The sequence below is a fragment of the Homo sapiens genome, chromosome 19 (genome assembly GCF_000001405.40).
Source record: "Homo sapiens chromosome 19, GRCh38.p14 Primary Assembly".
Lineage (NCBI taxonomy): Eukaryota > Metazoa > Chordata > Mammalia > Primates > Hominidae > Homo > Homo sapiens.
The window spans coordinates 1,874,608-1,896,779 of record NC_000019.10 but is presented as its reverse complement, the minus strand read 5'-3'; the positions used below and the strand labels follow the sequence as shown (position 1 = coordinate 1,896,779).

Sequence of the window (22,172 nt, the reverse complement as noted above, 5' to 3'; positions counted from 1 at the left end):
CCCACTCTGCCTGCCAAACTGCTGGGATTATAGGCGTGACCTAAGGCACTTGGCGTGGAGATAGGAAGTCTCTCTCTGTGGCCCAGGCTGGAGTGCAGTGGGAGCTGATCACGGCTCACCACAGCCTCAAACTCCTGGGCTCAGGGGATCCTCCCACATTGGGCTCCGGAGTAGCTCAGACCACAGGCATGTGCCCCGACACCTGGCTAACCAAATATTTTTTTTTTTTTTTGTAGAGATGGGGTCTTGCTGTGTTGCCCACGCTAGTCTCAAACTCCTGGGCACCAGTGATCCTCCTGCCTTGGCCTCTCAAAGTATTTGGATTACAAGCTTGAGCCACTGTGCTTGGCCCCCGCCGAGACAGGACTTTTTAAAGAGATTATTAGGTTCAAATGACGTCCTGAGGGTGCGCCCAAATCCAATCTGACTTGTTTCTCTTTAAGAGGCAATTACAGCCAGGCGCGGTGGCTCACACCTGTAATCCCAGCACTTTGGGAGGCCGAGGTGGGCGGATAACCTGAGGTCAGGAGTTTGAGATCAGCCTGGCCACCATGGTGAAATCCTGTCTCTACTAAAAATACAAAAATTAGCCAGGTGTGGTTGGCGGGCACCTGTAATCCCAGCTACTTGGGAGGCTGAGGCAGAAGAATCGCTTGAACCTGGGAGGCGGAGGTTGCAGTGAGCCGAGATTGTGCCTCTGCACCCCAGCCTGGGCGAGGGAGCAAGACTTCATCTCAAAAAAAAAAAAAAAGAAATAGACCAGGCGCGGTGGCTCACGCCTGTAATCCCAGCACTTTGGGAGGCCAAGGCGGGTGGATCACTTGAGGTCAGGAGTTGAGACCAGACTGGCCAATATGGTGAAACCCTGTATCTACTAAAAATACAAAAATTAGCCAGGCTTGGTGGCGGGCGCCTGTAATCCCAGCTACTCAGAAGGCTGTGGCAGAAGAGTCGCGTGATCCCAGGCGGTGGAGGTTGCAGTGAGCCGAGATCACGCCACTGCACTCCAGCCTGGGTGACAAAGTGAGACTCTATCTCAAAAGAAAAAGAAAATAAGGAAATAAATAAATAACTTAAATAACCCAATTCCTGGTGGGCTGGTGGGAGCAGAGGGTGCTGGGTCTGGTGTGTCGAGGGGACGGGGCTGGGTGCCTGCAGGGAAGGTCGCTGGGAGGGTCCCCGGCCCTGGCCCTGCTCCCTCCCCGCACCTCTGACCGCGTGGTTGGGTGATGCTATTTTAAGATGCCCCCGCCAACTTCCTTCCTTCTCATGTCAGGAACCCACTTCCTGAGCGGGTTCCACTCTCTCCCCTCTGGGAGGGGTATCCCTCCGCAGCGCTTAACGCCCCTGACCCTGGAAGGAGGCCTCCCGGTCCTTTCCCCAAAAGAAGCCTGGCTACAGAATCTTTGAGGCCAAGCTCAGAATGACAATACAGGGCCCCTTGTTTAAAAATGTTTAGAATTTTTTTTTTTCTAAGACAGTTTTTTTGCTCTTGTTGCCCAGTCGGAATACAATGGTGCTATCTCGAGTCACGACAACCTCTGCCTCCTGGGTTCAAGCGATTCTCCTGCCTCAGCCTCCCAAGTAGCTGCGATTACAGGCATGTGCCTCCACGCCCGGCTGATTTTGTGTTTTTAGTAGAGACGGGGTTTCTCCATGTTGGTCAGGCTGGTCTTGAACTCCCGACTTCAGGTGATCCGCCCGCCTCGGCCTCCCAAAGTGCTGGGATTACAAGCGTGAGCCACCGAGCCCGGCCTTTTTTTTTTTTTTTTTTTTTTTTTTTTTTTTAAAGAGACGGAGTCTTGCTCTCTCGCCCAGGCTGGAGTGTAGTGACATGATCTCAGCTTACTGCAACCTCCGCCTCCTGAGTTCAAGCAATTCTCCTGCCTCAGGTTCCCAAGTAGCTGGGTCTACAGGCATGCGCCACCACGCCCAGCTAATTTTTGTTTTTTCAGTAGAGACAAGGTTTCACCATGTTGGTCAGGCTGGTCTCGAACTCCTGACCTCAGCTGATCCGCCCGCCTGGGCCTCCCAAAGTGATGGGATTACAGGAGTGAGCCACCGCACCCAGCCAATTTTTAGGAATTTTGAGACAGCAACCACAGAGCATTATATCATGCCTAGATTCCTCTGAGTGTGGGTCCCCAGCGGACCCCTGAGGCCTCTGCCTGCGAAGCTGGCGCTAACCAAACAGCTCGTCTAACTCCGTGGTTTTATGAACATTGATTTATTTGGTTGTGGTAAAATACGCATAATATAAAGTTGACCATCTTAACCCTTTTATTTTATTTATTTATTTATTTTTTTGAGACAGTCTCGCTCTGTCGCCCAGGCTGGAGTGCAGTGGCGCAAGCTCCGCTCACTGCAAACTCCGCCTTACCGGTTCACGCCATTCTCCTGCCTCAGCCTCCCGAGTAGCTGGGACTACAGGCGCCCACCACCACGCCCGGCTAATTTTTTGTATTTTTAGTAGAGACGGGGTTTCACCGTGTTAGCCAGGATGGTCTCGATCTCCTGACCTCGTGATCCACCCGCCTCGGCCTCCCAAAGTGCTGGGATTACAGGCGTGAGCCACCGCGCCCGGCCTCTTAACCATTTTAAGTGCACAGTTCAGCCGTATTAAACTCATTCACACGGTTGTGCGACCATCACCTCCAGAACTTTCTGATCTTTGCAAACTGAAACTTGGCCCCATGAAACGCTCACTCCCCATTCCCCTCCCCAGCTCCTGGCGGCCTCCATCCTACTTTGTGTCTCTGTGAATCTGAGGACTCGAGGGACCTCCTAGGAGTGGATCACACAAGACGTGTCCTTTTGTGTCTGGCGCCTCCCGCTGAGTGTAACGTCCTCAAAGTGCATCCGCGCGTTGTGGCCTGAGTCAGAGCCTCGCTCCTTTTCTTTTTTTCTTTTTTCTTTTTTTATATTATATTATATATTTTTTTTTGAGACGGAGTCTCGCTCTGTCTCCCAGGCTGGAGTGTGGTGGCGCGATATCGGTTCACTGCAAGCTCCGCCTCCCGGGTTCACACCATTCTCCTGCCTCAGCCTCCCCAGTAGGTGGGACTACAGGCGCCCGCCACCACGCCTGGCTAATTTTTTGTATTTTTGGTAGAGATGGGGTTTCACCGTGTTAGCCAGGATGGTCTCAATCTCCTGACCTCGTGATCCACCTGCCTCGGTCTCCCAAAGTGCTGGGATTACAAGTGTGAGCCACCATGCCCGGCCTCGCTCCTTTTCATGGCTGCCTCCTATTCCAGCGTGTGTATAGGCCATGCTGTGTTCACCCAGTCATCTGTCCATAGCCACTGGGACTGTTGCTACCTTGTGGCTGTTGGGAATCAAGGTACTACTGACATAGGTGTGCAAATATCTATGGAAATCCCTGTTTTCCATTATTTTTTTGAGACGGAGTCTCGTTCTGTCGCCCAGGCTAGAGTGCATTGGCACAATCTCGGCTCACTGCAACCTCCGCCTCCCGGGTTCAGGCGATTATCCTGCCTCAGCCTCCTGAGCAGCTGGGTCTACAGGTGCGCACCACCACGCCCAGCTAGTTTTTGTATTTTTAGTAGAGATGGGGTTTTACGATCTTGACCAGGATGGTCTCGAACTCTTGACCTCGTGATCTGCCCGCCTCGGCCTCTCAAAGTGCTGGAAGTACAGGTATGAGCCACCGCGCCCAGTCCCATTCTTGTAAGTATATGCTGAAAAGTATAAATATTAGTATTTAATCACAAAGCTTATTTAGAAATCTAGTTTTAGCCTGGGAGGCAGAGCTTGCTGTGAGCCGAGCTCGTGCCACTGCACTCCAGCCTGGGCGACAGAGCGAGACTCTGTCTCAAAAAAAAAAAAAAAAAGAGAAATCTAGTTTTAGGCCAGGTGCTGTGGCTCACGCCTGTCATCTCAGCACTTTGGGAGGCCAAGAGAGCCACATCACTGGAGGTCAGGAGTTCTAGACCAGCCTGCCCAACATGGTGAAACCCTGTCTCTACTAAAAATACAAAAATTATGGCTGGGCGCGGTGGCTCACGCCTGTAATCCTAGCACTTTGGGAGGCCGAGGCGGGTGGATCACAAGGTCGGAGTTCGAGACCATCCTGGCCAACATGGTGAAACCCTGTCTCTATTAAAAATACAAAAATTAGCTGGGCGTGGTGGCGGGCACCTGTAATCCCAGCTACTCGGGAGGCTGAGGCAGGAGAATTGCTTGGACTCGGGAGGCGGAGTTTGCAGTAAACTAAGATTACATCACTGCACTCCAGCCTGGATGACAGAGTGAGACTCCTACTCAAAAAAAAAAAAAAAAAAAGTCACCCAGTACCTTGTTCTCCCACATCATCTATCTCGGTCCCTCTGTGGGGGGTTTTCTCAGGGGGAGACCCAGGATTGCTTTCTGAACACAGCAGCATGGACCTTCTCATGGGACCTCCTCTTCCAGGAATCCTCCCTGCAGGGTCCTATCCATCAGTGTGAAACGTCTCATGTGCCATTATTGTTGCAGCCAAAGCCAGAAACACCCTACATGTCCGTCAAGAGGGGACTGAGCATGGAGACGGCAGGTCAGCTCCTGGGGCCCCTTGCTTTGCATGAGAGGATTCCCGAAACAAATAGCATATGTGGCTGGGCGCGGTGGCTCACGCCTGTAATCCCAGCACTTTGGGAGGCTGAGGTGGGTGGATCACTTGAGGTCAGAAGTTCAAGACCAGACTGGTCAACATGATGAAACCCCGTCTCTACTAAATATACAAAAATTAGCCAGGGGTGGTGGCAGTCACCTGTAATCCAAGGTACGCGGGAGGCTGAGGCAGGAGGATTGCTTGTACCCGGGAGGTGGAGGTTGCAGTGAGCTGAGATCGCACCATTGTGCTCCAGCCTGGGCAACAAGAGCGAAACTTCGTCTCAAAAAAAAAAAAAAATACAAAAATTAGCCGGGCATGGTGGCTCATGTCTGTAATCCCAGCACTTTAGAAGACTGAGGTGGGAGGATTGCTTGAGGCCAAGAGTTGGAGACCAGCCTGGGCAACATAGCATGACCTCATCTCTACAAAAAAATTGAAAATTAACTGGGTATAGCCACTCCACTGATTCAAATGTTAATCTCTTCGGAAACATTCTTACAGAAATACTCAGAAATGATGTTGTGCCAGCTATATATATGGTAGCCCAGTCAAGGTGACACATAAGAGTAACCATTGGCCAGGAGCAGTGGCTCATGCCTGCAATCCCAGCACTTTGGGAGGCTGAGATGGGTGGATCACGAGGTCAGCAGTTCGAGACCAGCCTGATGAACATGGTGAAACCCCATCTCTACTAAAAATACAAAAAAAATTAGCTGGTTATGGTGGCAGGGGCCTGTAATCCCAGAGACTTGGGAGGCTGAGGCAGGAGAATCACTTGAAACCAGAAGGCGGAGGTTGCAGTGAGCTGAGATTGCACCACTGCACTATAGCCTGGGCAGTAAGAGCAAAACTCCGTCTCAAAAAAAAAAAAAAAAAAAAAAAGGCGCGGTGGCTCACGCCTGTAATCCCAGCACTTTGGGAGGCCAAGGCAGGCGGATCACGAGGTCAGGAGATTGAGACCATCCTAGCTAACACAGTGAAACCCCATCTCTACTAAAAATTTAAAAAATTAGCCAGGCGTGGTGGCGGGCGCCTGTAATCCCAGCTACTCGGGAGGTTGAGGCAGGAGAATGGCGTGAACCCGGGAGGCAGAGCTTGCAGTGAGCGGAGATCGCACCACTGCACTCCAGCCTGGGCAACAGAGTGAGACTCCCTCTCAAAAAAAAAAAAAGAGTAACCACCACATCTTGCAGATGTATTTCCCATAAACATAAATAAAACTAAAAAAAAAAAAAACAACAATTGGGCAGGCATGGTGGCTCACCCCTGTAATCCCACCACTTTGGGGGGCCGAGGCCGGTGGATCACCTGAGGTCGGGAGTTCGAGACCAGCCTGACCAACATGGTGAAACCCCGTCTCTACTAAAAATACAAAATTAACTAAATGTGGTGGCGCATGCTACTCGGGAGACTGAGGCAGGAGAATCGCTTGAACCCAGGAGAATCGCTTGAACCCGGGAGGCAGAGGTTGCAGTGAGCTGAGATCGTGCCATTGCACTCCAGCATGGGCAACAAGAGTGAAACTTCATTTCAAAAAACAAAACAGAATAAAACCCAACAATTGCCAGGCATGGTGGCTCACGCCTGTAATCTTAGCACTTTGAAAGGCCGAGATGGGAGGATTGCTTGAGCCTGAGAGTTTGAGACCAGCCTGGCCAACATGATGAAATCCCATCTCTACAAAAAATACAAAAATTAGCTGGGCATGGTGGTGCACGCCTTTGGTCCCAGCTACTCGGCAGGCTGAGGCAGGAGAATCACTTGAACTTGGGAGGTGGAGGCTGCTGTGGGCCAAGATCGAGTCACTGCACTCCAGCCTGGGTAACAGAGTGAGACTCTTGTCTCAAAAAAAAGAGAATCTGAGAGTGGTAAGTATTGCAGTGGAAATAAACAGGGTGATGGGATAGAGGTAATGGGGTAGAGGTGTATGTATGTGGTTGGGATTTAGCTGGGGTGGTTAGCAGAAGCTCTTGGATGTTGTGGCCCTCCTGTAGAGCCAGAGGATGCTGGAGAAGGAAGCCAGGGGGCCATATGGGGAAGGGCCCTGCAGGCAGGAGCCATAGTACCTGCAAAGGCCCTGAGGCAGCAGCACTCCTGGCCAGGCCAGCATGGCTGGGGCAGACCATGAAGGGGAAGAGGGACTAGTGGCTCCCCCCATTTTCAATGTATGATTTTTTTCATTTTTTTTTATTTATTTATTTTTATTTTTATTTTTATTTTTATTTGTTTTTGAGACAGAGTCTCGCATTTTCACCCAGGCTGGAGTGCAGTGGCGCCATCTCAGCTCACTGCAAGCTCCGCCTCCCGGGTTCACGCCATTCTCCTGCCTCAACCTCCCGAGTAGCTGGGACTCCAGGTGCCCGCCACCACGCCCGGCTAATTTTTTGTATTTTTAGTAGAAACAGGGTTTTACCGTGTTAGCCAGGATGGTCTCTATCTCCTGACCTCGTGATCCGCCCGCCTCGGGCTCCCAAAGTTCTAGGATTACAGGCGTGAGCCACGGCGCCCGGACTTATTTTTTATTATTTTATTTTTTTGAAGTCAGAGTCTTGCTCTGTCGCCCAGGCTGGAGTGCAACGCTGTGATCTCGGCTCACTGTGACCTCTGCCGCCCTGGCTCAAGCAGTTCTCTTGCCTCAGCCTCCTGAGTAGCTGGGGTTACAGGCTTGAACCACTACACCCAGCTAATTTTTGTATTTTTAGTAGAAATGGAGTTTCTCCATGTTGACCAGCCTGATCTTGAACTCCTGACCTCAAGTGATGCACTCGGCTTGGCCTCTCGAAGTGCTGGGATGACAGGTGTGAACCTCAGCACCTGGCCTCATTTTCATTTTTTATTTTATTTTATTTTATTTTTAGACCAAGTCTCACTTTGTCGCCCTGGCTGAAGTGCAGTGGCACAATCTCGACTCACTTCAACGTCTGCCTCCTGGGTTCAAGTGAGTCTCCTGCCTCAGCCTCCAGAGTAGCTGGGATTACAGGCATCTGCCACCATGCCCAGATAATTTTTGTATTTTTAGTAGAGATGGGGTTTCATCGGCCAGGCACGGTGGCTCACGCCTGTAATCCCAGCATTTTGGGAGGCCAAGGCGAGTGGATCACGAGGTCAGGAGTTCAAGACCAGCCTGGCCAAGATGGTGAAACCCCATCTCTACTAAGAATACAAAAATTAGCTGGATGTGGTGATAGGCGCCTATAATCCCAGTTACTCGGGAGGCTGAAGCAGAGAATTGCTTGAACCCGGGAGACGGAGGTTGCAGTGAGCCAAGATCACCCCCCTGCACTTCAACCTGGGCAACAGTGAGAGACAACATTTCAAAAAAGAAACAACAACGTAAAAAAGATGGGGTTTCACCACGTTGGCCAGGCCGGTCTTTAACTCCTGACTTCAAGTGATCCTCCAGCCTCAGCCTCCAAAGTGCTGAGATTACAGGCGTGAGCCACCATGCCCAGCCCTCATTTTTATTTTTTAGAGTCAGCATCTCCCTCTGTCATCCAGGCTGGAGTGCAGTGGTGCAATCACACCTCACTGCAGCCTTGAACTCCTGGCCTCAAAGAATCCTCCCACCTTGGCCTCCCAAAATGCTGGGGTTCAGACATGAGCCACAGCACCCACTATTTTCTGGGACAATTGGGACAGAGGCTCGATCACAAAGGGTCTCTGGGGAGGAGGAAGGGATGGGTGTCCTTCTGAGACATTTGAGTGTTTACAGCGTGCGTTTACCTTTCACCAGGTGGCCTTGGATTGGTGGGCCACCCTGCGGGCTTATCCTCCTCCCCTTGGATGGTGTCTCCCTGTGTCCCTGTGGGGGCTGTCGTTTACAAGTGGAGCTGGGCTTTCTGGTGCGGTCCAGCCCTGGTCCTGCCTAGCTCACAGTGGGAAGGGGCTGCAGGGAAGATGGGAGGGGGGAAGGAGGCTGGGGACAGGCCTCTTCTGGCCCTGGTGCTCAGAGAATTCACAAGGACCTAGGAAGAAGCCTGGACTTGTTTTGGCCTTTGGACCTCAGGAGAACCTCAGCGGAGGCTGGGAGCCTCGAGGGGGACAGCAGAGGCAGGGGAACGCTGGGGCAGCTCTTGACAGCCCCAGGGAGACCCAGGCAGCTGAGTCCTGAGCAGGGGCGCCAGAGGTCCAACAACACCGGAAAATCAGAAAATGAGGCAAAGCAGCCAGGTGCGGTGGTTCACGCCTGTAATCCCAGCACTTTGGGAGGCCGAGGCTGGCAGATCACTTGAGGTCAGGAGTTCGAGACCAGCCTGGCCAACATAGCGAAACCCCATCTCTACTAAAAATACAAAAATTAGCCGGGTGCAGTGGCGGGTGCCTGTTAGCTCAGCTACTCGGGAGGCTGAGGCAGAAGAATAGCTTGAATCTGAGAGGTGGAGGTTGCAGTGAGCCGAGATCGCGCCACTGCACTCCAACATGGGTGACAGAATAAGACTCTGTCTCAAAACAACAACAACCAAAAAAAAAAAGAGGAAAGAAAATGAGGCAAAGAAACCCTGGGCTATCTCTAAGTCTCTAGTCTTTTGAGCCTGATTCCTTCCCTGGCAGCTGTGTCCTGAATTTGAGGAATGAGCCCCTGGGGGCAGGATTGGCCCAGGAGCCTCAGGCTTATCTCAGAACAGTGGAGCTAAGATGAGAGTCCCTGGGACGGAGCGGGGGCTGCGGTTGCCTGCAGGCTGGAGGAGCATTTTGAGCTGGAAAAGGCACGAAAGCTGGGGGGAAGGCACATATGAGAGAAGGCCTGAAAAGCAAGGCTTCCCACCAATTCACACTCACACTTCCAGGCTGGGCCCCTTTGGTGTCTGCAGCCCTTTCTGCCCCTGTCCCTGTCACTTCCTTAGAAAGGCCTGCCCTGACCACGCTCTGAGATTCTCCAGTAACCTTCTTCCATTTTCTTTTCTTTACTTTTTTTTTTTTTGAGGCAGAGTCTTGCTCTGTCGCCCAGGCTGGAGTGCAGTGGCGTGGAGTAGCTGAGATTACAGGTGCGCGCCACAACAGCCGGCTAATTTTTGTATTTTTAGTAGAGATGGGGTTTCACCATGTTGGCCAGGGTGGCCTAATTTTTGTATTTTTAGTAGAGACAGGATTTCACCATGTTGGCCAGGCTGAACTCCTAACTTCAGGTGATCTGCCTGCCTCGTTCTCCCAAAGTGCTGAGATTACAGGCGTGAGCCACTAGGCCCTGCCATAATGCAATTTTTTTTTTTTTTGAGACGGAGTCTCGCTCTGTCGCCCAGTCTGGAGTGCAGTGGCGCGGTCTCAGCTCACTGCAAGCTCTGCCTCCTGGGTTCACGCCGTTCTCCTGCCTCAGCCTCCCGAGTAGCTGGGACTACAGGCGCCCGCCACCACGCCCGGCTATCTTTTTGTATTTTTAGTAGAGATGAGGTTTCACCGTGTTAGCCAGGATGGTCTTGATCTCCTAACCTCATGATCTGCCCGACTCGGCCTCCCAAAGTGCTGGGATTATAGGCGTGAGCCACCGCGCCCAGCCCATAATGAAATTTTTTTAAGAGACAGGATCTTGCTCTCTCGCCCAGGCTGGAATGCAGTGGAGTGATCATAGTTTTATTTATTTATTTATTTATTTATTTATTTATTTATTTATTTATCTGAGACAGTCTTCTTGCTCTGTCACTTGGGCTGGAGCACAGTGGCCCGATCTTGGCTCACTGCAACCTTCGCCTCCCGGGTTCAAGCGATTCTCCTGCCTCAGCCTCCGGAGTAGCTGGGACTACAGGCGCGTGCCACCATGCCCGGCTAATATTTGTATTTTTAGTAGAGACAGGGTTTCACCACGTTGGTCAGGCTTGGTCTCAAACTCCTGACTTCAGGTGATCTACCTGTTTCAGTCTCCCAAAGTGCTGGGATTACAGGCATGAGCCACCGTGCCCGGCCTAATGTAATATTTTAAAAACTAATGCAAAAGAATTTCTGATGAGCAATATATAAAGACTTTAAATAAGCTGGTCATGGTGGCTTGTGCCTATAGTCCTAGCTACTCAGGAGGCTGAAGTAGGAGGTTCACTTGATCCTGGGAGGTCGAGGCTGCAGTGAGCTATGATGGCACCAGCCTGGGTGACAGAGTAGACTCTATGTTAAAAAAAAGAGGCCAGGTGCGGTGGCTGATGCCTGTAATCCCAACACTTTGGGAGGCTGAGGCAGGAGGATTCTGGGGTCAGGAGTTCGAGGCCACACTGGCCAACATGGGGAAACCCCGTCTCTACTGAAAACACAAAAATTAGCTGGGCATGGTGGTGGGCGCCGGTAATCCCAGCTACTCAGGAGGCTGAGGCAGGAGAATCGCTTGATCCCAGGAGGCAGAAGTTGCAGTGAGCTGAGATCGCGCCATTGTACTCCAGCCTGGGCGACAGAGCGCGACTCCATCTCATAAAGAAAAATATTTTAAAACATTTCTAAATGTTGATGTCTGAGTTTTTTTTGGCGTCCCTGTAAATTTTGTTTTCCAGGCGAGAACTTTACTGGCCTCAACCTATTCCGGGTCCCCAAGTGAATGAAACCTAAGTTTGGCCCCGCCCACAGAGCAGCAGGCCACGCCCCTCGACATATCAGCCCCGCCCCCAGGACGCTAGTCGCGCGGTCGCTCTGTGCCTGCAGACCCCCGCCCCGCGCGCTCCTCGCGTCACTTCCGGGGCGGTGGTGAGAACGAGGCTCACTTCCGTCCGTGGGGGGAGCTGCGGCGGTGGCGGTGCAGGAGGCCGGGCAGGGGTGCGGAGGGACCGACGGACGCACGGGCGGGCGGCCGGGAGCCATGGAGCGCGGCCCTGGGGCCCGGGGGCGCGGGCCGGGGTGGTGAGTGCCGGGCAGGGGCGGGGGCGGGCGCGGCCGCGCGGGGTCCCGGGCCGGGCCTCGAGGGCCTGACAGCCCGGTTGGACGTCCCCGAGACCCCTGCAGTCCCAGGGCTTCCGCGGGTCCTGCCCGAGGAGCCCAGAGCAGGGGCGCGGACCGCGGATGAGCGTCTGTGATTGGGAAAGCCCTGTCCCCATCCATTCAGCCCTCCGGCGTGGGTTGCGCTCCCACCCTCCTGCGGACGCGGCCCTTGCCTTCGGGGAGCACCCGTCCGAGCCGCGGATTCCGCTCTTTTGCCCCGAAACTGCCCCCAGTCCGACAAACGCTTCGGCCTCTCGCCCCCCAAGGCAGCTCCCAGGGGCCCTCCCGAGCCCTGCTTCCCAACCAGCTCCCAGTCGCTGTTTCCCTTGTCAGGCTTCTTCCTGCCACCCTGACTCCTGGGCGGGCTTCCCGGCCTCCGCTCGCGTCCGTTCTCCGGGATGCAGCCCTTCTCCTATGTTGTCCATCGCTTGCTCGGGACTTCTTCGCGGCCCCGCCATTTCTCCCAGGATGAAGTGCAAACTCTCGGGGGCGCGACCTCACCCGTCCCAGGCTCTCTCTTAGGACCCTTCTGCTCACTTCTTCCTCCCAGGGTCTGCTCTAGCCAGGAGCCTGCTCTGTCACCTCGGATTTTGCTCCTGCTTGTCCCTCTGTCCCATCCCCCTGTCACCTGGCCCGTTTGTCTGCCCTCTGATATGGCCGCGCCTCCCCCCAGGCGGGTTTCCCACCCTGACTGGTTGAGTGAGGTGCAGTCACCGTCTCCCATATGTAGGTCATCTTCCAGTATTTTGGCTGCTCGGTTGCTTGCTGGTCCTCAGAACACCTCTAGCTTGCAGAGGGTTGCCCAGTTAAGTGCGTGGGAACGGAATTGGTGGGATTCAGGGTGTCAAGGGTGTGTGCCCAGTGAGTGAGGCGTCTGGGTTTGCACTCCCCAGTCCACGCCCATTAGTGACACTAGGGAGGTTCCAGGTACCTGTGGCTGGAGAGGAGAGGAGACTAGACTTTCCCTTCCCTGTCAAAGCTGGCGGACCTTGGGGATTCTTTTCCTCCTGTGCTTCCTCCTTAATTCTGTGCTGCCTACCACCTGCCCATTCCTTTAGTGAGTGGCAGGTCATGGTCCTGCTCTCATAGAGTTTCTGGTTTGGAGGTGGGGGGAGATCTGGCCAAACGTGTGAAAAATACAAGCTGTGGAAAGAGCGTGTAAGGGGTCCTGTCCCAGCTTTGAGGACTCTGAGAGCGTTGGCAGTGAGGTGCAAAGGGTGGTTGGGTTGGGCAAGGCTGTCTAGTGAGGTTGGGGAAGGGAGTTCCTGGCAGAGGAGCAGAGGCAGGAAGGGGCAATTTGGCTTGTCTTGAGGGAGCCAGGAGTGGCAGGGTGTGAGATGAGTGAGTCTGGAGAGGTCGGCCTGAGCCGGAATGCGGACCTGGCAGGCTGTGGGGAGGGCTTTGATCTCTATCCAGGGAATAATGGGAGGCCCCCAGGACACCCCAAGAGGGAAGCGGCTCCATTGCATTTGTGTCGTGAAAGATTGTTTGGCTGCTGGGGGAGAATGTCCTGGAGCAGGTGATCAGCAAGGAGGGAGGCTGTTGCTGTGGCTCTGGTGAAAGGTGATGGAGGCAGGGACCGGGCGGTGGCTGATGGGAGACAGGCAGAGCCACCGGGCTGGTGATGGACCGGCTCAGATCCAGTGGGTGGAAGGAGGTGTCAAGGATAACATCTTTGTTTCTGGCCTGGATAGTGGGGCCCTGGCCACCTCGGTGTGCCCCTTCGTCTCCGGGGTCTCCAGGGGCCTGCTGCTGTCCACTGGGCTCTCAGGACCCAGCTGCATGATGCCACCTAAACTGCAGGGCCCTCCAAGTCCCCAGCACCAGCGGGGCAGCACCGGTAGGGCCTGGACCTCTTTGAGAATATGTTGAAAAGCTGACATCAACCTCGACGCTGTGGATGTTGGGCCTGATCATTCTTTGGGGTGGGTCTGTCCTGGGCACTGCAGGGTGCTAAGCAGCCTCCACCCAGTCCCCAGTGGTGACACCCAAAACTGTGTCCAGACATTGACAGGTGTCTCCAGGAGGGAGACTCGCCTCCATCTGAGAAGCAGAACCAGCCTGACAGTCCACCTCCCGGCTGAAAAGTGCTTGCATGTGCGATTTGCCTTCCGCCTGGGAGTCTGGGGGCACTGGGATGCCATCCTTGCCCCACCCTGGCTTTCAGAGCTCTCTCCTCTCCTCCTCGTGTGCCCATGAGTCCGGCTCACAGGAACGTGGGTCTCACATCAGGTCCTGAGGGAGCAGGTGTGTTTCTGGGCCTGAGGCTGCTCCTTGGTAGTGAGGGTGTCCCCACGAGCCGTGTCTGTGGCGCCTGCAGCTGCCTGCATGTCCATCTGTGTCCACATCTGCCTTTGAGCCTCATCTTCCTGGCCCCACGGTTTTCTCATGCTGTGACCCAAAAGCCAAGCATTCCAGGGTGTTCTGCTGAAATTGAGTTGTGAGCGTGTCTCTCTCCTCGCTCCAGTCTGAAGGAGAAGCGTGGTCGGTAGATAGACGTCTCAGACCTTCGTGTTTTCTTCACGTCTGTCTGTTGGCAGGTCCTTACACTATTGTGGTTGCTTTAGCAACTTAGCTGTTGTCGACTTAATGTGTTTCATGACGTTCTGCAGCAAGGAAGAAGGTCCGAGTTTCCACTCTCAATCAGGCACCTTCGTTCCCCTCCCCCCTCACTTGACTTCCTGTGGGGTGTGTGGTGTCTGCACTTATAGATGAGAATGCTGAGGCCTCAGGAGGGCAAGGGACTCGCCCACGGTCACGGAACCCTAAGTCAGGGGTGGAGAAGGACCCCCTGACGCCAGCCCACCTCCCCTGCCCCTCAGCAGGCCTGGCTCCAGCACAGAGAAGAGCCATTGTTGCTGCTCTGGGGGCCCTAGGAGCCTGGGATGTATCCTGCCTTTGTTTCTAGAGCCTTTGTTTGTTGTATTTCCTCTGTCTCCAGACATCGCAGGCCGGTGGGACCCGGCGCCTGTGCACGCTCACGTAGCGGGGCCTGTTCGGGTCCCTCGTGGGTCCCTTCAGTTCGAGCTCTGTCCTTGCCTCAGCGGCCCGTCACCCATAGGGTGGCAGAGATGGGCCGGGGGAGGGAGTGGGCAGCAGTGCGGACCGAGTCCTGGCGCATGGGGTTTCCCTGGTGCTGGAGCCGGGCGTTTCGGGGGTGTGGGCGGGGCTGGGGTCATATCCCCTGCATGCCCCGCATGCCATGGCTGTACTCACATGGCAAGAGGTGGTGATCGCCAGCTCAGGGAAGGTGGGGGTTCCTTCATCCTGTGGAGAGGGGGCTGAATTGGGGTCCCCTGAGCTGTAGGGTGCAGTGCCTGACAGGCCGTGGGGAGGGCCGAGGGGATGGGGACTGACAGGCCCCGGGCCCATGCCGCCCCCTGGCACGGGTGGATGCCCCGCCTCCCGGGGGTGCCCAGCTGGACTGTGGCACCCCCAAAGGACCCCACATGTCACTGTTCCCCCGCAGGGCTTCCCACGGCACGACATGGAGACCTGTGGTTGCGAGGCTCCCTGGGGCTCGGCTTGGACCGCGATGGGGCTGGGCCCTGGCCTCCTAACGGGGCTGCTGTCTGGGGCGGTAGCTGGGGGGGCGCTCTCCCCCCTGCCCGCGACTCGGAGCACCCCCACCCCTCCCCTGCCGGGCCAGGCCGGGCGGCGTTGTTGGCGGGGGCCCCGGTGGAGGCCCGGCCTGGGCGGCGCCCGCCATGAATGGGCTGTCGCTGAGTGAGCTCTGCTGCCTCTTCTGCTGCCCGCCCTGCCCCGGCCGCATCGCTGCCAAGCTCGCCTTCCTGCCGCCGGAGGCCACCTACTCCCTGGTGCCTGAGCCCGAGCCGGGGCCTGGTGGGGCCGGGGCCGCCCCCTTGGGGACCCTGAGAGCCTCCTCGGGCGCACCCGGGCGCTGGAAGCTGCACCTGACGGAGCGTGCCGACTTCCAGTACAGCCAGCGCGAGCTGGACACCATCGAGGTCTTCCCCACCAAGAGCGCCCGCGGCAACCGCGTCTCCTGCATGTATGTTCGCTGCGTGCCTGGTGCCAGGTGAGCAGCTGTGGCCGCGCCTGGGCTGGGTCACCCTGTTCTTGGGGCTCCCGTTTCTGCCTGCGGTGCTTGGTGTGGTTGGTGGTGCCCCCGAGGGCCCGAGCCTGCCGTGAAGGGCCATCCAGCCAGCAAGGGTGGTATCCCCCGTCAGGCCGGCCTCGTCCCTCTGGCAATTTTCTCTCGCAGACAAGGACACCAGGCTCAGGGAGGCCATCCCCAGCTGGCATGGGTGGGCAGGCTGGGCGACTCCAACAACCCAGCGCCTGGTGGTTGCCTGCTGGGCAAGAGCTGGGGCACAGGGGCTGCCCTGGCCTGCGGGTACATCCACCTTCTCGCCAGGTGGGGTTCTGACCAGATCTGAGTCCAGAGGGCGAGCCTTTACCTTCTGGCTGGGCTAGGTGGGGGCCTGGGGGAACTGGAGGAAGCAGTCCATGGCAGGGCCAGCCTGGCCACCTGCTCCTGGCACCACCTGGGGCAGCTCCCGTGCTGGGAAGCAGACAGGCCTTGCAGCACAGCCTTGGGGCTTGGGCAGGGTGGTGGGCCAGGAGGGGCTGCATGAGTGTGAGCAGAGATTGGCCGCATTTGCTTGTTGGGGGCAGGGGTGGGGTCCAGTTGTGCCCCAACAGTGAGGGCACCATTCTGTGAGGTGAGGGGAGATAGCCCTGCCAGCAGCAGCATGGGCTCCCCTGGGAAGGTCCTGAAAGGTGGGCCTGTGCGCTCCATCCCCGGGGGTCCAGGTTCTTCCAGGAGGAAGGGCAGTGAAGCCTGCAGTATCTGAGCACACACTGCGAGTCTGCCCTGAGAGAGGATGCGACCGATGGTCCCAGTGTCCCGCTTCACAGATGGGAATCCTGAGGCTCCCTGGCTGGCCTCTGCAGCCCAGGCTGCCTGTCCCCCTGCCAGCTGTCCTGTCCTCTCCCCATGGGGAACCCTCGGAGATGGAGCTGTGCTGTCGTAGCCTCCCCTCTCCATTCACTGGCTTCTGGCCCCCTTGGGAGGGGAGTAAATGAGGCACTGGGCATGGCTGGCCACCGGGGTGGGCTGTCACTACGCATCCTCCTGCCCTGCAGCTGGGCGCTGGGAGCGAGGATGTGAACGGCCCTTCTCGGCCTGTCCCAGGTACACGGTCCTCTTCTCGCACGGCAATGCCGTGGACCTGGGCCAGATGAGCAGCTTCTACATTGGCCTGGGCTCCCGCCTCCACTGCAACATCTTCTCCTACGACTACTCCGGCTACGGTGCCAGCTCGGGCAGGCCTTCCGAGAGGAACCTCTATGCCGACATCGACGCCGCCTGGCAGGCCCTGCGCACCAGGTGAGGGCGACCCTGGGGGCAGCTCAGCCTGGGCACACCCAAGAGGGGACCAGGCGGGGGGCCGGGGGGCGGGCTTCCCTGGGAGGAAGGTGGGCGGCCCTGCAGGAGGGGAGCCACAGTGGATGCACAGGGCCAGAGAGCCGGACAGGCGAGCTTGGGTGTGCAGGTGCCGCCTCCACATGGCTGAGGTGTGGCCAGGCGGTCCTCCCACACCCTGGCCTGTGGAGCCAGGTTCCCTGGGAACCCCTGGCCTGAGGATGGGAAGGGGCTGAGCTTGTCACAGGGGTGTGGATGCCACCCGGCGGGAGGGAGTGGGTGGTGGTCTGGGGGTCTGTGCACGTGTGGCTGGGAGCCCATCGGCCGAGGCAGCACTTGGGGCCAAGTGAGGCGAGGCTGCTGCATCCAGGTCCGGAGGACTGGCCCATGAGGCCCTGTGGCTGCGGAGCTTGGCCATCCTGGGGCAGGGCCTACAGGGTAAGGTGCAGACCCGCAGCACACATCCGAGGTCTGGGCCAGCCTCGATTCCAGATCCAGCCCTCCTAGTCATCCACGTCCCCAGCCCTGCGCTTGCCTGGGCCCTTCACCGGTGTTTGAGCACCGCCCGGGCCAGTGCTGCTTTGGACGAGGAGACCCGGGTGGGCCTCTGGTGGCTTTTCCTGCTCACCATCCACTGGGCCTGTCTCGTCCTGGCCCTGCCCAGCCCACTGGTCTGACCTGCTCCCACAGGGACCAGGCACAGCTCTGAGAAGTCAGAGGCCCTAGGGAGGTGGGGTCGTCGTTGCCTTGGTGATATGCAGGCAGTCCCTGCAGTGGGCCTGGGAGCTGGTCCCCTGGCACCACCCTGGCTCTGGGGGCCTCCCAGCAGTGTGGGACGCTGACACCAATCACCACTTCATGCGACTTCCTCGGCCCCTCCTGTCTCTACTGCCTGGGCCACTGGCAGAGTCACACCTGCCATGGCCAGCTCTGAGCTCTGTCTGCTCGGCCATCTGTCCTGCTGCCACTTTGTCCTGCAGGAACCTAGGCCCAGAGCTGTGAGGGGGAGGCCAGAGCGTGCCCAGGGCCTCCACCGGGGATGTGTCCTGTTCGTTTGAGTGGTGACATCCAGGTGGCAGCTCGGGGCTCCTGCCTGTAGCAGGTGGCAGGGCTGGGCTGGCTCAGCACACTACTGACCATGGCTGCCAGGGAGCAGGCCAGGGAGGCCGAGGCAGAGCTGGAGCCACAGGCACCAGCCAGGCAGCATCCTTTGGGGCATGGGTGAGTGGCGAGCTGTGGAGTGCTGCCAGGAGGCTGGGATTCCAGGCCAGGGACGGGGACAGCCCTGCTGGTGGAGATGCCAGGCAGAGGGGACGCACACCTGCCCATGCTCCTGCCTTGCAAGAGGGCGTCTGCCTGGGATCAGAGCCTAGAGCGTGTGGGAGGAGAGTTGTGGGGTCCCGGCATGGGCAGGGTGGCAGGTGGGTCCCGTGTGCTTGGGACTGGGCACGAGGAGGCCTTGTAACTGGTGCTGGATCAGCTGGGTCAGGGGCCGCACACCAATGACCTGGGGGTGAGGGTGCCCCTGGGTGGGAGCTGGTGGTGCTGAGGTGGCCGAGGACTTGTCCACTCCCAAGGGAAGGTGCTGGTGGGAGGGGGTGCCACCTCCGCAGCCACCACCCTCGATGCTGACCTGGGTTGCACTGGCATCTCATTGGGCGTGGGGACTCCGAGAGTCCAAAATTGGGTGGAGACATTTGGGGACACAGCTGCCTGAATTCCTCATGGCCAAGGGGGTGGGCAAGGGCTGCAGGGAGGAATAGTGTCCGCTGTCCTGGCCAGTGCACCAGGAACGGTTTTCTAACCCTGGCAGGAAGGTGTGAAGCATTCAGGATGTGGGGGCCACACAGTTCCCAGTGTGCACCTAGGGGTGACCAGGAGGAGGAGAGGCGCCAGGGCCTCCCTTACCCCCGCCCCAGGGGCACTCCGTAGGCAGGATCCCTGCAGATCCTAGCTAGGAAACGCCAGTGAACGGCAGCGCAGGGAACGGGGCGGGGCCGCTGGCTTCGCCCACCGCCACGGTGTTGGGGGCTGGGGGTGGCCCTCGGGACTGGTGTGGAGCCTGAGCCTGACCCACTGACTTGGCTGAGTGGGGAGACTGGAGGGTCGCATCCGGAGCTGGGCCCGGGGACGCCCGCTGGTGGGAAGGGTGCGCGCGCGTCGGAGGCCGCGGCTGACCCTGCTCCGGCGCCGCCAGGTACGGCATCAGCCCGGACAGCATCATCCTGTACGGGCAGAGCATCGGCACGGTGCCCACCGTGGACCTGGCCTCGCGCTACGAGTGTGCCGCGGTGGTGCTGCACTCGCCGCTCACCTCGGGCATGCGCGTCGCCTTCCCCGACACCAAGAAGACCTACTGCTTCGACGCCTTCCCTAAGTGAGCGGCCCGGGCGGGGACGGGGGCGGGGCGGGGCCCGGGCCGGGCGCGAAGTCTCACCGGCTCCACGACCCTCCCGCAGCATCGAGAAGGTGTCCAAGATCACGTCTCCCGTGCTCATCATCCACGGCACGGAGGACGAGGTGATCGACTTCTCGCACGGGCTGGCGCTCTACGAGCGCTGCCCCAAGGCGGTGGAGCCGCTGTGGGTGGAGGGCGCCGGGCACAACGACATCGAGCTCTACAGCCAGTACCTGGAGCGCCTGCGTCGCTTCATCTCCCAGGAGCTGCCCAGCCAGCGCGCCTAGCGGCGGCCCCAACCGGCCGGACCTCAGCAATAAGGCGGCCCCCGGACCTCACCCCGCGCCGGCCCCCACCCAGGGGCTGCATGTGGACCCCCCGGGCGGCCCAGGGGACCCCGCCCCGACCCAGGGGCTGTGGACGATGTACAGGCAACAGAGCTACGCACTCCTTTCCTTTTGGAAGCAAGAAGAAAATACGTGAAAACGGAAATTAAAGATTTAAAATTTTAGGGCTGCTCTCCTTCCTTTCATGGCTCTGCTCACTCTCTCGAGCGCTCAGCGAGCTCGAAAGGGGGCCGGGGTTCCCAGGTTTCGTCCCTGAGTCCCTAGGAGAGATCGGCACGGACCCCCTTATAGGTTTTACTCTGCGGAAGTGGGGTGGGTCTCTGTCTAGTCCGGGGAGCCCTTAGGGAGCTGGTTGCCTGGGCGATGATGGGTGGGGCAGCGTTTGAGCCCAGGACCCCTGCCTGCTTCCTAGGGAGGCTGGTGAGCCCTGCTGGGTGGGCGCGATGAGGACGCCAGGCGTGGGGGCCCTGCTGCCATCGCGGGACTGCCCCCTCGACAGCTTCCCGTCAGTCCTACTGCAGAGGGGCCAGGACAGCGCACTCTGGGTCCTGAGGTGCCGCGCTTGACGGACCTCAGAGCTCGGACAGGCCGCTTCCTTCGTAGATGGCGAAGCTGGGGTCCAGCAGAGGGCGGTGGCAGGTGCTTGGGCCCCGAGGGTCTCCCCTGGAAGAGGGAGCCGACACTGGAGCTGGGATCACGAGAAGAGTTCCTACGATCTCTAGGGCAGAAGGCTTAGGACCGGGAGGACTCGGGAACCGGTGGCCTGTTGTCCACCTTAGGGTTGGGCAGGGTTCAGCCTGTGTCGCGCGACCAGGCGGTGGCGAGGCCGGGATCCCAAGCTGCATCCAGCTAGCTCTAGTCCGCGGCCCCTTTAAGGGGGGGCGGTGCTTCAGTCTGGGCGCGAGAAGGCGCTGCGTCACGTGCGGGGCCGCAGCACGGACGGAAGCGGAAGTGGCGGCGTGCGTGCGGCAGTGGAGACGGCGGCGGCGGTGGCTGGCGTCAGGCTGTGGACGAAGAGGCGGCCTCGGTGGTAAGTGGCGGCCGCTGGGACCCAGCCAGGTACCGGTCCGGCTCGGCCCTGCCCCTTTCCGGCCGCTCTCACTCCTTCCCTCGGCCTCGAGTTCCTCGTAGGCCCGTGGGGGCCGCCGCGGGGTCGGGGCTGCGAGGCAGCGCCCGCCGTTCCATGGTAAGCGGTGCTACGGGACGTTCGGAAGGAAACCTCGCTAGAGCAGGGGACGCCTGGGCTCCTGGCTGACCACGGGGCCTTTGCACGGCCAGGGCTTTGCGACCGCAGTGTCTTCCTTCTGTCCCCGGTCGTGCGCCGTGCCCCTCAGCGCGGCTCACGTTTCGGAACACGTCTGCCTTTCATGCCTCCCGAAGAGCCTCCCCGCATCCCGTGCCCCCTGCTCGCTGCTGCCGCTGACCCTTGGGCGCTGCGCTGGTCCAGAGCGTGTTGTCCTCTGACGCCGTCAGAACCTGAGCTCCCTGCGAGCTGGGACTCCGCCGTGTCTTCATTGCCTCCAGTGCAAAGCAACTGCTTGCAAGAGAACAAAAGTGTGTTCAGGTGCACAGAGTAGAAAATTCAAGGAGCCTGAAAGGGTATTTGGTGAAGACTTGATGTGTTTTTCCCAGTCCTAACCTCCAAGGCCCAGTTCTCCCCTGGGGCAGAGGGAAACCCGTTTCTTACGGGTCTGCAAAGAAAGTCTATGCAGGAACATCTACGTGCGTTTCTGCAAAAGGTCAGTTACTTTACTTGGGGCTCTTATACTTAACGTAGCTCGGAGAGCGCCCCATGCATTCAGATACAGGTGGGATTCCTCCGGAAACGGAGTTTTATAGCACCAGACTTTATCCCCTTTCCTGTAGAAATTTAGGGTTTTTGCTGTCTTTTATAACGAACAATGCTAGCTTGACTATTGCTTGTACAAACCGTTTTTTGCCCAAGTCGGACTATTTTCTTAGGTTAAATTCCTTGGTGCAGAAGTGCGAGGGCTGTATTTAGGCCCCTAAAGGGGTGGTACCAAATCGCCCTCCCCCACCAGCATAAGAGGGGGCCGGCGACACCCTTGCCCAAGCTGGATTTTGCAGACCTGGTAGGCGTGAGATAGTATTTCACTGTAGCTTGTGTTTCCTGTAAGTATAGTCGAACGTCGTGATGTTCCTGTTACATCTATGTTACGTTGATCATTGTTACCACTGACAGTCGTTTCGAGATTGGAAAATATGTTTATTATAAACGTTTGACTATTTAAAAGCCATTTGTATTTTATCTTCTTGGCTCATTTTTCTGTTGGGTGGATGGTGGTGGTTTCTAGGTGCACTTTACAGATTAAGAAAATTCGCTTTCTGTCTAGTAGAAGTGTTTTTTTTTTTTTTTTTTTTTTTTTTTTTTTGGGACTCTGACACATTTATTGCTGAATACCATTTCTCGGCTGACCCGGAAGTGTTTCTTTTTTCTATCTGTCATTAGTCTTTGACTTTGTTTGTATTTTTTTCTTTAAGCTAAGCATCTAAAATTGTTACTGGTCATTA

The 22,172-nt window shown here is 57.4% G+C and overlaps 2 protein-coding genes across 7 annotated transcripts in view, besides 9 other annotated features; both read left to right on the top strand.

Annotated features, from left to right (window-relative positions):
- Window positions 8,695-9,200: an enhancer, noted in NCBI's record as "H3K27ac-H3K4me1 hESC enhancer chr19:1887579-1888084 (GRCh37/hg19 assembly coordinates)". NCBI's record gives its function as "activates a minimal SCP1, AML or CMV promoter by ChIP-STARR-seq in naive H9 embryonic stem cells {active_cell/tissue: H9 hESC(naive)}" and the evidence as "EXISTENCE:reporter gene assay evidence [ECO:0000049][PMID:30033119]".
- Window positions 9,201-9,705: an enhancer, noted in NCBI's record as "H3K27ac-H3K4me1 hESC enhancer chr19:1887074-1887578 (GRCh37/hg19 assembly coordinates)". NCBI's record gives its function as "activates a minimal SCP1, AML or CMV promoter by ChIP-STARR-seq in naive H9 embryonic stem cells {active_cell/tissue: H9 hESC(naive)}" and the evidence as "EXISTENCE:reporter gene assay evidence [ECO:0000049][PMID:30033119]".
- On the top strand, window positions 11,284-19,970 carry ABHD17A (abhydrolase domain containing 17A, depalmitoylase). Of its 6 annotated transcripts, NM_031213.4 has the most exons (6): window positions 11,284-11,428; window positions 14,976-15,545; window positions 15,732-15,884; window positions 16,665-16,859; window positions 19,093-19,272; window positions 19,355-19,970. In NM_031213.4, the coding sequence occupies exons 2-6, from the start codon at window positions 15,214-15,216 to the stop codon at window positions 19,578-19,580; spliced, it is 1,086 nt and encodes a 361-aa protein (NP_112490.3). In that variant the 5' UTR covers window positions 11,284-11,428; window positions 14,976-15,213; the 3' UTR covers window positions 19,581-19,970. The 6 variants fall into 6 exon arrangements, with proteins under 6 accessions (NP_112490.3, NP_001123583.1, XP_047295444.1 ...); NM_001130111.2 differs by lacking the exon at window positions 15,732-15,884; XM_011528338.3 differs by lacking the exon at window positions 11,284-11,428 and having other exon boundaries at window positions 14,214-15,545.
- Window positions 11,872-12,019: a silencer, noted in NCBI's record as "fragment chr19:1884760-1884907 (GRCh37/hg19 assembly coordinates)". NCBI's record gives its function as "represses an EF-1alpha promoter that drives an FKBP-Casp9 reporter gene in an ReSE screen in K562 erythroleukemia cells {active_cell/tissue: K562}" and the evidence as "EXISTENCE:reporter gene assay evidence [ECO:0000049][PMID:32094911]".
- Window positions 19,233-19,933: an enhancer, noted in NCBI's record as "H3K27ac-H3K4me1 hESC enhancer chr19:1876846-1877546 (GRCh37/hg19 assembly coordinates)". NCBI's record gives its function as "activates a minimal SCP1, AML or CMV promoter by ChIP-STARR-seq in primed H9 embryonic stem cells {active_cell/tissue: H9 hESC(primed)}" and the evidence as "EXISTENCE:reporter gene assay evidence [ECO:0000049][PMID:30033119]".
- Window positions 19,934-20,633: an enhancer, noted in NCBI's record as "H3K27ac-H3K4me1 hESC enhancer chr19:1876146-1876845 (GRCh37/hg19 assembly coordinates)". NCBI's record gives its function as "activates a minimal SCP1, AML or CMV promoter by ChIP-STARR-seq in naive H9 embryonic stem cells {active_cell/tissue: H9 hESC(naive)}" and the evidence as "EXISTENCE:reporter gene assay evidence [ECO:0000049][PMID:30033119]".
- Window positions 20,140-20,281: a silencer, noted in NCBI's record as "fragment chr19:1876498-1876639 (GRCh37/hg19 assembly coordinates)". NCBI's record gives its function as "represses an EF-1alpha promoter that drives an FKBP-Casp9 reporter gene in an ReSE screen in HepG2 liver carcinoma cells {active_cell/tissue: HepG2}" and the evidence as "EXISTENCE:reporter gene assay evidence [ECO:0000049][PMID:32094911]".
- Window positions 20,244-22,172, top strand: part of KLF16 (KLF transcription factor 16) — a 24,138-nt gene continuing 22,209 nt past the window's right edge. Inside the window, exon 1 of the mRNA XM_047439498.1 lies at window positions 20,244-20,670. Within this exon, the coding sequence (XP_047295454.1) occupies window positions 20,244-20,670 (427 nt within the window). The remainder of the gene's footprint in view (window positions 20,671-22,172) is intronic.
- Window positions 20,372-20,421: an enhancer, noted in NCBI's record as "active region_13631". NCBI's record gives its function as "activates an Ori minimal core promoter by ATAC-STARR-seq in GM12878 lymphoblastoid cells {active_cell/tissue: GM12878}" and the evidence as "EXISTENCE:reporter gene assay evidence [ECO:0000049][PMID:35858748]".
- Window positions 20,634-21,334: an enhancer, noted in NCBI's record as "H3K27ac hESC enhancer chr19:1875445-1876145 (GRCh37/hg19 assembly coordinates)". NCBI's record gives its function as "activates a minimal SCP1, AML or CMV promoter by ChIP-STARR-seq in naive and primed H9 embryonic stem cells {active_cell/tissue: H9 hESC(naive and primed)}" and the evidence as "EXISTENCE:reporter gene assay evidence [ECO:0000049][PMID:30033119]".
- Window positions 20,662-20,911: a silencer, noted in NCBI's record as "silent region_9752". NCBI's record gives its function as "represses an Ori minimal core promoter by ATAC-STARR-seq in GM12878 lymphoblastoid cells {active_cell/tissue: GM12878}" and the evidence as "EXISTENCE:reporter gene assay evidence [ECO:0000049][PMID:35858748]".

Coding starts and splice junctions, on each gene's coding strand:
- ABHD17A (NM_031213.4), top strand. CDS start 15,214: ATGAATGGGCTGTCGCTGAGTGAGCTCTGCTGCCTCTTCTGCTGCCCG. Junction 15,885..16,664: donor TACATCCACCTTCTCGCCAG/GTGGGGTTCTGA, acceptor GGCCTGTCCCAG/GTACACGGTCCTCTTCTCGC. Junction 16,860..19,092: donor TGGCAGGCCCTGCGCACCAG/GTGAGGGCGACC, acceptor CGGCGCCGCCAG/GTACGGCATCAGCCCGGACA.